We start from the raw sequence: 12,358 nt of genomic DNA, 5'->3' as shown, positions 1-12,358 counted from the left end.
GGATCAGGATCATCAATATCACTGTTTTCTACCTTCACATCAAGTTCCACTAGAAGGTCTTTCAGGGCAGTAACGCTGATGCAGCTGTCGTTTCCTATGATAATAATGCCTGCATAGGGCAGTAACCATGGAATGCCTTCTGAAGGACCTGCCTGAAGCAGTTTTACAGTTAACTTTTAAAAAAAAGGTACACTCTAAAATAAATGATAAAATGTATAGTAAATGCATAAACAGTCATTTATCACTATTATCAAGAATTATGTACTGTACACAATTGCATGTGCTAGACTTTCGTATGGCAGCACAGTAGGTTTGCTTACACCAGCATCATCACAAACACATGGGTAATGTATTGTACTATGACATTATGTTGGCTACAATGACAATAGCTGATGGGTGCTTATCAGCTCTGTATTAGTTTGTTCTTGCATTGCTATCAAAAATACCTGAGACTGGGTAACTTATAAAGAAAAGAGATTTAATTGGTTCACGGTTCTGCAGGCTATATGAGAACCATGGTGGCACCTTCTTCTGGGGAGGCCTCAGGAAACTTACAATCATGGCGGAAGGCAAAAGAGGAGCCTGCACTTTACATGGCCAGAGCAGGAGAAGAAAGAGAGGGGCTAGGTGCTACACACTTTTAAACATCCAGATCTCATGATAACTCACTCACTCACTATGACAAGAACATCACCGATGGGATGGTGCTAAATGGGCATGAGAAATCCGCCCCCGTGATCCAATCACCTCCCACCAGGCTTCACCTCCAACACTGGGAATGACAGTTCGACATGAGATTTGGGCAGGGACACAGATCCAAACCATATCAAGCTCCATTATAATCATATGGGACCACCATCATATATGTGGTCCATTGTTGACTGAAACATTATACAGTGCCTGACTGTACTTGCTCAATGTCCAGCTGACTTTATTTGAGTCTAGTTGTCAGTCCTTCTCCCTCTGATATTCAAGCTGATGTCACCACACTGTAGAGCAAACTCTTTGGCAACAGTAAGTCACAAGTTGACTTGGCTGGCTCAGTGTATATCCCAGTTTCTCTCCAACTCTGGCTTGGAAGTCTCAGAGCCTCTTGGTTCCTGGAAGTCTCACCTGTCCAGGCTACCTTAAGTAGGGTGGGGATGGTGGGCGATACTGAAAAGATCATTCCTACACACTTATTATTTTAATCTCTCATCACTTTGCAATTATGTACTTCAGACATGGTAGAGTTAATTTATCTTTAGTGAGAGAAAAATATAGTTCTTTACTATAAGAATTTCAGGGTTCTTTATATTAACAGGTTAATTTGACAAAACAGTTATTGCAGACTTACTGTGTTACTGCGTAAAAAGCACTTTATTTGGCTGAGAAAACAAGAAAGAAAATACTATTTGTGGGCAGGGGTGGATCGTTAGACATGTGAAAGAAAGGGAGGATTTGAAATCATTTCCCATTACAGATCTCAATCCATCTCCTCCTTTGTACCTTAAGAGGAGAAAGAAAGGGGGAAAAGAATTTTTAAAAGCAAAGAAGAGGAAGAGGGTAGGAGGACCATTTCAGTCTAACATGCAATTTAATTTTTTCCATTTAACAAGTTTTATGGAGCAGTTACTTTGAACATAATTATACACTGGGAAATGGAGAATGAGTGAACACCAAAGCTTCTCTCTTTGGATTCTTTTCTCTACATGCTCCATGTCCTTCTCACAATACCCCTACTCCACGGCCAGTAAATCCATCTGAAAATCAATAATAGCTATTGTAAACAAGGACTCAAGAAGTGAAATATTTGTTTTAATATCTTTGTAAATAACAACTCCCACATTTAGACCACGACTATATTTGGAATTTATTTCCGTTGACCTACTTAATTCTTACCTGCTTATATTTAAGTTTAAAACATAATCTTCTTAAAAGAAAATTGCACTGATTTTAAAATGTCAAAACATTTGGCATTTTACCAAGCTTGTCAGCTCTCTTTAAGTAAATACAGAGACGTGAATTATCTAGCCAATTCTTTTTCGTCTTTACAAACACAGAAATCATTTCCTGGGGATTAATCATTCTTTCAAGTTTAGAAAGTTGAAGGAAAATACTGATGTAGGCTGTATCACCATTACATTAAATGTTTGTGAACATTCAGACTTAAAAAACACATGCATGAATCATACTGTTGGTGATCTCAGCATTGTCTCTGTATAAAAGAAAGGCCACTAGGGGGTAGAGCTAGAAGCCCAGTAGACAAAGAAGGTAAGGGCAGTGAGAATGATGCATCTTGCATTCCTTGTGCTGTTGTGTCTGCCAGTCTGCTCTGCCTATCCTCTGAGTGGGGCAGCAAAAGAGGAGGACTCCAACAAGGATCTTGCCCAGGTAATTAACGGTGGCATCTATTGCAGCTACTGGCCAGCTCAATTGTGTCTACTTGGTCTTCCAATACAAAGCAGAATGATTAGACTAGAGATCACTTTGTTAGAAAACTGTAGCATCAGAGAATAATTAACAGGCTGGAGGTGGAAATTATTTTTATGTTAACAGAGAAGAAAAGAAAGGTTCAGAAAGGGAATATAACTGCTCAAGGTTACAATAAAATAGTAGCAGTATATTTGTGGCTAAGTGAAAAGAACATATGGAGAATATATGAAACTCCTCTGGCTTTAGAATTTATTTAGTTAAAATTATTGGGGAGGGGAGCATGCTAAGTTTGATCTTTAAATCATATCAGGTAATAGTTTTCATATTTTTACTTGTCATATTTGGACAAAAGAGTTTACCACACTTCAGTCTTAAACCAGGTCTATAATAACAATGTAAGTAGAAAAGGTTAGTATTCTAACTTTTCACAAAACTATGTTAAAAGAGGGTTTCTTTAAAAACTAACAAAAATAATGCTAGACTTGAATTTTCAATCCCCAATTCCTTACTTGACTAGCAAACTAACATTGCAATAAAATTTAAAAATTTGTATGAAATGGGGAGTCTTAATGAAAAATCAAATTAAATGTGATAGCCTCTTTTGTTTTAAGAAACTAGAGGAAAATTACGATGGATTATAAAAGTTGGATAAATGATGGAAAATCACAAAAATGCCCTAAAAATTCTATTTTCCATTAGCAATACCTAGAAAAGTACTACAACCTCGAAAAGGATGTGAAACAGTTTAGAAGAAAGGACAGTAATCTCATTGTTAAAAAAATCCAAGGAATGCAGAAGTTCCTTGGGTTGGAGGTGACAGGGAAGCTAGACACTGACACTCTGGAGGTGATGCGCAAGCCCAGGTGTGGAGTTCCTGACGTTGGTCACTTCAGCTCCTTTCCTGGCATGCCGAAGTGGAGGAAAACCCACCTTACATACAGGTAATGGTTCAGATTAGTTTTCACATAATATTGAAACCTTATAAGTTACTCGTCATATTTGGATAAGTAACATAAAGTTTTCTTTAACAATTTTTCATAAAGGCAGGAGAAAATAACATCCTCTTCAATTTTTCTCCTCCAGGATTGTGAATTATACACCAGATTTGCCAAGAGATGCTGTTGATTCTGCCATTGAGAAAGCTCTGAAAGTCTGGGAAGAGGTGACTCCACTCACATTCTCCAGGCTGTATGAAGGAGAGGCTGATATAATGATCTCTTTTGCAGTTAAAGGTAATCAAATAAAGCATCCATTTATCTGGTGTATTCATCTGTTCAGACTGCTATAGCAAGTTACCTTAGACTGGGTAATTTATAAACAACAGAAATTTATTGCTCACAATTCTGGAGGCTGGGAAGTCCAAGATTAAGGTGCCAGCAGATTTAGTGTCTGATGAGAGCCTATTCCTCATAGATGGTACCTTCTGTGTCCTCACACGATAGAAAGGGCCAGGAGGTTCCCTCAAGCTTCTTTCATAAAAGCACTAATCTCATTCATGAGGGCAGAGCACTTACGACATAATCACTTCCTAAAGACCTAACCTCTTAATACTATATTTCATTGGGCATTGAGTTTCAACATATGAATTTGCAGCAGACACCAACATTCAGACTATAGAATCTACTGTTGTTTAATTGGAACAGGGTAAAAAGAAATTCTGAACACTTATATTTCCATTAATTTGTTCCCTATCAGAACATGGAGACTTTTACTCTTTTGATGGCCCAGGACACAGTTTGGCTCATGCCTACCCACCTGGACCTGGGCTTTATGGAGATATTCACTTTGATGATGATGAAAAATGGACAGAAGATGCATCAGGTGGGTCGTAAACCTCTCGGGAACATTTCAGGAATAATGTCCAATCCTACCCAAAAATAATTGGATTATCTAGAACGAGCAATAAATCGAATATACTAGTAACTGAATTTTTTTATTACCTGAGTTTTAAACAGAAGTACTGTTTGTTTCAATCATTATTGAAGAATTTTATAAAATGTCTGTATTTTCATGTTTGCCCCCACCAAGTACAATATTGTAAAAACCATTCAACCTCATCTCCACAACTCAGGATCTTGTGGGGGTTTGAGGATCAGCATAATTAATAATGTTTTTCATCACTTTAATGATAGATGATTAGGATAGAATGAATTCCATTAAACCAGTTCCAATCCTAACATTTGCCCTCAGGTTTTCTTTCTTTCTTCTCATTGGCCTCCTTTTTACTTAAAAGTAGAGATCAGGAGAAAATGCCAGGAACTGAAAAAAAACTGTTAGGTCATCTTTTCGAATAAACATGTCACTGTCTCTAGCTTAGATGGGTTTTTTTCGCCCTAAATTGGCTTGGAAACACTTTACATCTAAACATAATGACTAAAATTAACTGTATGCTATTTAATTTTTAAAATGGCTTCTGAAGTTTAGAAACACACTGTTGAAATAATCACTATTTCTGACAGTGCCTGGGATTTTTAATGTAAATGCAAAGAACATCTTTCCTGAGTACAAGACTCAGGAGGCTGAGGCACGAGAATCACTGAACCCAGGAGATGGAGGCTGCAGTGAGCCGAGATTGTACCACTGTACTCCAGCCTGGGCAACAGAGTGAGACTCTGTCTCACGAGACTGAAGTTTGTGTTGCATGAAATGATTGCCTTTTATTTGAACAACTGTTCTTTTCTGCACAATTCTTGGAGCCTTGGTTAAATAATATCTACTACTAAATTCAATAAAACCCTTTTTATAATATTTTTAAAAAGCTGAATCTAGCTGTGTTTGTGCTGCAGAAAACTGTTATTGGGCATGTTTCTGTTTTAAACTAAAGATTGTACACATCCAATGGCACCTATTACTGGGAAGATTTTTGACAATCAAAAATTATTTGATTATGGCCAGGCACCAGTGGCTAATGCCTGTAATCCCAGCATTTTGGGAGGCCAAGTTGGGTGAATCACTTGAGACCAGGAGTTTGAGACCAGCCTAGCCAACATGGTGAAACCTTATCTCAACAAAAATACAAAAATTAGCCGGGCATGGTAGCACGTGCCTGTAATCACAGCTACTCAGGAGGCTGAGGCACGAGAATCGCTTGGACACATACTCCAGCCTGGGCGACAGAATGAGACTCTGTCTCAAAAAAAAAAATTACTTGAGTATGATGAAGAGGAGGAAGAGAAAATCAGACTAAACCCCACAAGAAATAACCACAGTCTTCTGGCTTAAAAGTTTGAACGTAAATGTTATATGATTAATTTTAACCAAGGTTGCAACTGGCAAGTGTTCCTAAATTTGAACAATGACTTTTTATTTTTAGACAACGAAGAGTTATATTTACTGACATGCTATTAGTCTTGTCCTTTCAAAAAAAAATCTTTTGAAAATAATGCTTCTCATTTGTCAATATAGGAAAAGTGTCTTAGTTTTCCTGACCAAGGAGGGATCTAGGGAGGGATACGGTGAAAAACTGTCTTATATATTGACTTAAAGTCAACCTTGAAAAACACATTAATTTCTATAAAGTATGGAATGTGCCAATCAATGAACCAATCCACAAATACTGAAAAGACATTGTGGTTTCAAGGATGGCCTGTACAGCTGGCATATGTTCTGTATGTGTATTTATGGAAGAAAGAGCTGGTGAATTCTGAACATTTATGATTTTCATACAGGCACCAATTTATTCCTCGTTGCTGCTCATGAACTTGGCCACTCCCTGGGGCTCTTTCACTCAGCCAACACTGAAGCTTTGATGTACCCACTCTACAACTCATTCACAGAGCTCGCCCAGTTCCGCCTTTCGCAAGATGATGTGAATGGCATTCAGTCTCTCTACGGTGAGTGATGCTGGAAAAATTAGGCATTGCAGATCTACAATGACAGTCCTCCAGAAAGCTTTCCAGTGCTACCTAAAGTATTTCTGATTTGGCCTGAAGCACTTTGAGAATGTTTGAAAGGCACACAAATTGACAGATGCATCACATTTTTTTTTAATGTTTGCATCCCCAAATCTGTTTCCTTTAGGACCTCCCCCTGCCTCTACTGAGGAACCCCTGGTGCCCACAAAATCTGTTCCTTCGGGATCTGAGATGCCAGCCAAGTGTGATCCTGCTTTGTCCTTCGATGCCATCAGCACTCTGAGGGGAGAATATCTGTTCTTTAAAGACAGGTCAGACCAGAAAATTATATTTTCCTATCTATTCTTTTGATGTACAGTGCTTAGAAAGAAAAACAGAAACTTGACAGAGCTTTTTTTTTAATTTTAGGTTCAGGGGTACATGTGCAGGTTTGTTATATAGATAAACTCGTGTCACAGGGGTTTGTTGTACAGATAATTTTGTCACCCCAGTACTAATCCTAGTACCCAGTAGTTACTTTTTCTGCTTGACAGAGATTTTTTAAAATATAAAATTTCCTCTACATTTTAAAATCATTCAGATCTAGTTCTTGCTGAATTTTTAACATCTTCTTAGAATTGTCCAGATCATTTTTTACAGACTTATAAGGGATGATTCTTGGTCCCTAGACTGTAAGTTTGATTAAGGCAGGGAGTTATATCTGTTTCGTTCATTTTTTTAAAATATCATATATCATGGAACTTCTTCAGAAAGCACTGGTGGATCCTTAGAAGCAGGGTGGTATCTTTCCATTTACTAATATATGCTACTATTTAAATTAATTACTTTTGGAAAAAAGTGATATGTGCTTGTGGCACAATATTTAAACACTACCAAAAGATACGGAGTTAAAAAATCTCTCTCCAGTCTTTGGCCTACCGTCCTCCAGCTCCCTTCATATGTGCAACCACTGCTACCAATTTCCTTTGACTCTTTACAAAAATGTTCTACTCATATACAAGCATCAATATACACATAATATTTTTTAAAATATTAGGACATAATATGCACACTGTTTATGGACTTTTAGAATGGAACCAAGCTAAATAATTTTACTGGAACCAGTCACAAGTCCTGCCATCGATTTCATTACCCTGGAATCACATGCAGGAGGATGGTTTAATACAGACTTCTATGAATGGGTGAATTAGCATGGATTTAAAAAAAAAGAATTTTTTTTTCACATATCTAAAAGAGAAAGACAATTGCAAGTAATTTTATGTATTACAGATATTTTTGGCGAAGATCCCACTGGAACCCTGAACCTGAATTTCATTTGATTTCTGCATTTTGGCCCTCTCTTCCATCATATTTGGATGCTGCATATGAAGTTAACAGCAGGGACACCGTTTTTATTTTTAAAGGTGAGTACTATATAAGAATTTCAACTTGCTGGAATAAATCCTATTGCAAAAATTTTATTGACATGAGTTTTATCCATTATATTAAAGTTTAGATTACTGAAAGACCTTGTGCTAACACTTAAATAAAATTTGTACAAAGAACATTATAAACTTTATTTTAGAGACCTCTTAAGAAAATAGGTGGCATTCCATATTCATAAAAAATGCAAGATAGTAAAAATGTCAATTTATCTATAGATACAAGACATTTTCATTTCAAATACCAAATGCCAAAAGATTTTTCATGGAACTTGACAAATTAGTTTTACAATTTATATGGCAGAGGAAAGGCCAAGAATAGCCAGGATGCTCCTGGTGAACCCATCTTATTAGATGAGGAGAAAAGCCCTGTGTTATAAAACTTTAATCGGTAAGATGTAGTATCAGTGCAGGGAGAGATAAATTAACTAATGGAGATATTCAGGTATAGAGGCTTCTTTATCAGACTTTTAAACTACTGTTTCAATTTGTTTTATTGGTAATATGCTATTAGAGTTTCTATTACTTCTTGAGTCAGTTTTGTTAACATGTTTTTCTAAAAATTTGCCAATTTTGTCTGTTTTCAAATCCATCAGAAAAAGTTTTTGGAAAATTATTTTGTTGTAATTTGAATTATTGCTGAAGTTTTGTTTTCTTTTTCATTCTTAATACTGAATCCTTTTGCCTTTCTCTTTTTTCTTCATCAATCTCATAATATATGTAATAATTTTACTGATCTTTTCAAAGGACTGACTTTTGGCTTTATTTACTCTCTATATTATATTTTGATTTCCCGTTTAATTAGTTTCTGTTCATATCTTTATTGTTGCCTTAATTTTTGTTTACTTTGAATTGATCCTGTTATTATTGTTATAGCTTAAGTTTGATACTTACCTTATTAACTTGTAACTTTTTTCTTTTCTAATACAAGCATTTATACCTATAAATAACCATTTCTTCTGTTTCATCCAGCAAATTTCGATATGCAGTATTTTCATTTTGTTCAATTTTAATTCTTTAATTTCTCATTTTTATTTTTTCCCTAGACTCATAGGTGATAATGGAATATTTTTAAATGTCAAGCTTTATGGAGATTTTAAAAATATTTATTTCTGGCAATCTCACTTATGTGAAGATCAAATGAATGTGAAATTGCAGTAGAAATTGTAAAGGATTACATAACTCTAACGTATTGTTATCAAGTAATGTATCTCACATTTACATATCACTTGCACTGTGTCAGACGCCATTCTCATTGGTGGAGGTCAGGACTGAAAAGGGCTCATATTCTAGAAGGGGCAGCAGAGATGAAGCCTTTGGCAGCCTACATATGACAAGTGCTGGGACTGAGAGAAGGAAGGGTGCCATGGGAGCACCTGACTCATACCCAGGACTCAGCAAAGATCCCTTAGGGGAGGTGATGTTAGGATGGGTCTTAAAGTTCTCTATTGTTGTGCAGAGATGGGCTGGGTGTACAGAAAGTAGAAAGGTCTTTAAGAAAGAAGAAATTGTTTTTACCAAGTAAGAGCATATCTGGAACTGCTCAGACAGATACAAGTCATTCGGTTCAGACGAAGCAAGAGAGATAAACAACAGATGGACATTTTAGATTAGTGAATCTGGCAGTGAGTGCGAAGAAGGAATTCAGGCTTGGGGTCTGGGAGAGTGATGTAACAAAGTAAATGCAGAGAGATTGATGGGATTTTATTGTCCTAACTCACTAGAATTTGAATGAATTCCGATAGTGTTCACAAGAAGCACAGATTGGAATTGGTGACTGTGAAATATCTCAAAGGAAGTGTCCAATAAGCAACTGATCTATTGGTATGAAACTTAAGAGAGAGAGGTCTAGGTGAGAAATTCAGGTTAAAAGTTTACCAACAATTATAAGAAATAACTAAAACTGATCTATAAATAAACTATAACATATAGATACAAATATATAAGACACAGAAAGGGCAGTGAATCAGAGTTATCTACTCATTTATTCATTCATTCATTCACTCGCTCATTCAGGGAGTATTTATTAAGGACTGGCTGTGAACTGGACATTATTAGGTTGGAATTAAAACCAAGCCTTCCTCTTTACCACAACAATGCACTATAATTATTTTTAAAATCAATGGCTTCAAGTAAAATGTCTTGGATTTATTTTTTCAATAGGAAATGAGTTCTGGGCCATCAGAGGAAATGAGGTACAAGCAGGTTATCCAAGAGGCATCCATACCCTGGGTTTTCCTCCAACCATAAGGAAAATTGATGCAGCTGTTTCTGACAAGGAAAAGAAGAAAACATACTTCTTTGCAGCGGACAAATACTGGAGGTGAGATGCAAGAGAAATGACTTTCTATGAAGCCTGATTAAGAAAATTATTTTCTTTCTTTAAGGATATTTCCCTACCCTACACCCACCCTCTAACTTTCTCTAACTTCAAAATTTATGATTATGAGGAAGACAGCTTATTGTTCTACCTTCCGGATACAAAGGCCTCTCAGAATGGTGATCACTGGGCCATATACTCAGACACTAAAAGACATCAGGAGAGGCCAGCTGAGGTCCAAAGGCATTCACCTCTTATTCCATTTCCAGTCACCATGTGGCTGCCATAGGAAGCCCAGGTGTGGCAGGCTTTGGAGACAGGATCTACAGGGTCCCAGTGTGACTGAGAACCAGAGGTTTATTTTTAGCTAAGTGATTTAATTAATTTTGCATTATGAATTCATTATGTCTACACAGTCTTTATGTATTTATAGTAGACACAGGGAAATTTGGTTTCTGTGTGTCCAGGCTTAGAAAATTTACCTCAGACATATGTATGGAACCTCTGTAAAATGGCATAATGTTCCTGTTTCTGGAAAATATTGTTTTATGTGTTAAACTTGTAAGCCCAGGAAAGTAACCTATTCTTGTAGCTCTAAAAATGTTTAACACTTTTTTACACAACTTAAAAAGTTTGTCTAGGATTCCACACTGGAAAATTAACATCACATTATACTATTGTGTGTAATGGGACTACTGCACATCATTGAACTGTATTTCTTTCATTTGGTTTAGATTTGATGAAAATAGCCAGTCCATGGAGCAAGGCTTCCCTAGACTAATAGCTGATGACTTTCCAGGAGTTGAGCCTAAGGTTGATGCTGTATTACAGGCATTTGGTAAGAAGACCCTTATTTCATTGTCATGCAGGAATCTCCAGGCATTTTTATGATTTCAAAATAAAGTGCAGAATCAAAACAGTTTTTAAATCATTCAGTCTGATATCTTTTTTACTCCAAATTCCTGAAAATCTTAACTTTCCAATTTATGCAAAGTGGGTTTAAATTTGTGTGTGTGTGTGTGTGTGTGTGTGTGTGTTTTCCTGAATAACTTCCTAGTCTCTGTTTCATATCCGCACATAAAATCAAAGGATACTTCCTCACACAGAAGCCATTATCTTTCAGGTCACTATGTTGGTATAAAAATACAATCTGTGTGAGCCAGGCTTACTGATGGCTGGTTGTCATTCTACTCTATCCCATCCTGTTGTCCCTTTTCTTCTATCCCACCCCAGGGGAGCCTTGTCTGGGCTTCTGTTGCAGTCTGCGATTGCCTGCATTAGTCATTTGTAAATAAAATACTAGTCCTCCCATATGCTCAAAATAGGTCAAATGTGATTCCTGGTAATGGGCAAATAGGAAAGCAAAACTTGTTCTTGATTACTCTGAAGGAATTTTGGAGGGAGCTGCCAGTGCTTGACAATCCAATGGTCATGAGGCTGATGATCTTGTTACTAAAATGACTTAACCATGATGGATGCAAAGCAGGAAATGGACCTCTGGCTCATTTATCATTTGTCTGATTCTCTTGGGTCTAGTTGTCTCCCAAACTGTAATTTAGAACCTAGCAGAAGAGGGGAGGTTGGAAAGAAAGTAAAACAAGGTTTTAAAATATTATAGAATTTTATCTCTTTAGAACCAGTATGACGTAATGTTTTAGAGCACTTCCTTTGGAGTCAGATGAGATGGAGTCCTCCCTCCTTCCTTCCTTACAGATGCTACCTTGTTAAAATTACAAAACCGTCTTAATTTTTAGTTTTGTTCTCATTAATAACACATCACAGTTTTTTGTAAGGGTAATTGAGATAAAGCATGTAAAGCACTTAGCTCAGTGCTTGGCATAGAGTAATCACTTAATAAATGCCCTCCATTATTAACTTGTACTTAATCTAAGTTATATGTGTTGCAAAATGACATATTTGAAGATGTCTCATCATTTTCCTTATCTATATTTACAGGATTTTTCTACTTCTTCAGTGGATCATCACAGTTTGAGTTTGACCCCAATGCCAGGATGGTGACACACATATTAAAGAGTAACAGCTGGTTACATTGCTAGGCGAGATAGGGGGAAGACAGATATGGGTGTTTTTAATAAATCTAATAATTATTCATCTAATGTATTATGAGCCAAAATGGTTAATTTTTCCTGCATGTTCTGTGACTGAAGAAGATGAGCCTTGCAGATATCTGCATGTGTCATGAAGAATGTTTCTGGAATTCTTCACTTGCTTTTGAATTGCACTGAACAGAATTAAGAAATACTCATGTGCAATAGGTGAGAGAATGTATTTTCATAGATGTGTTATTACTTCCTCAATAAAAAGTTTTATTTTGGGCCTGTTCCTTA

General features: G+C 36.5%; 1 protein-coding gene across 1 annotated transcript; it reads left to right on the top strand.

Moving 5' to 3' along the window:
• The first annotated feature begins 2,231 nt into the window (after nt 1-2,231).
• MMP10 (matrix metallopeptidase 10) lies at nt 2,232-12,358 on the top strand. The gene is made up of 10 exons (NM_002425.3): nt 2,232-2,373; nt 3,115-3,356; nt 3,499-3,647; nt 4,111-4,236; nt 6,084-6,248; nt 6,436-6,580; nt 7,539-7,672; nt 9,854-10,013; nt 10,745-10,848; nt 11,967-12,358. Exons 1-10 carry the CDS (start codon nt 2,269-2,271, stop codon nt 12,065-12,067), a joined length of 1,431 nt encoding a protein of 476 aa, NP_002416.1. The 5' UTR covers nt 2,232-2,268; the 3' UTR covers nt 12,068-12,358.

This window comes from Homo sapiens, chromosome 11, assembly GCF_000001405.40.
Source record: "Homo sapiens chromosome 11, GRCh38.p14 Primary Assembly".
NCBI classification, from domain to species: domain Eukaryota; kingdom Metazoa; phylum Chordata; class Mammalia; order Primates; family Hominidae; genus Homo; species Homo sapiens.
This window is presented reverse-complemented; position numbering and strand designations above follow the sequence as displayed.

Bases quoted from the DNA above. Each gene is read 5' to 3' on its own strand.
- MMP10 (NM_002425.3), top strand. From the start codon at position 2,269: ATGATGCATCTTGCATTCCTTGTGCTGTTGTGTCTGCCAGTCTGCTCT. The intron at 3,357-3,498 runs GTAATGGTTCAG...TTTCTCCTCCAG, and splicing joins AAAACCCACCTTACATACAG to GATTGTGAATTATACACCAG. The intron at 10,014-10,744 runs GTGAGATGCAAG...CATTTGGTTTAG, and splicing joins GCAGCGGACAAATACTGGAG to ATTTGATGAAAATAGCCAGT.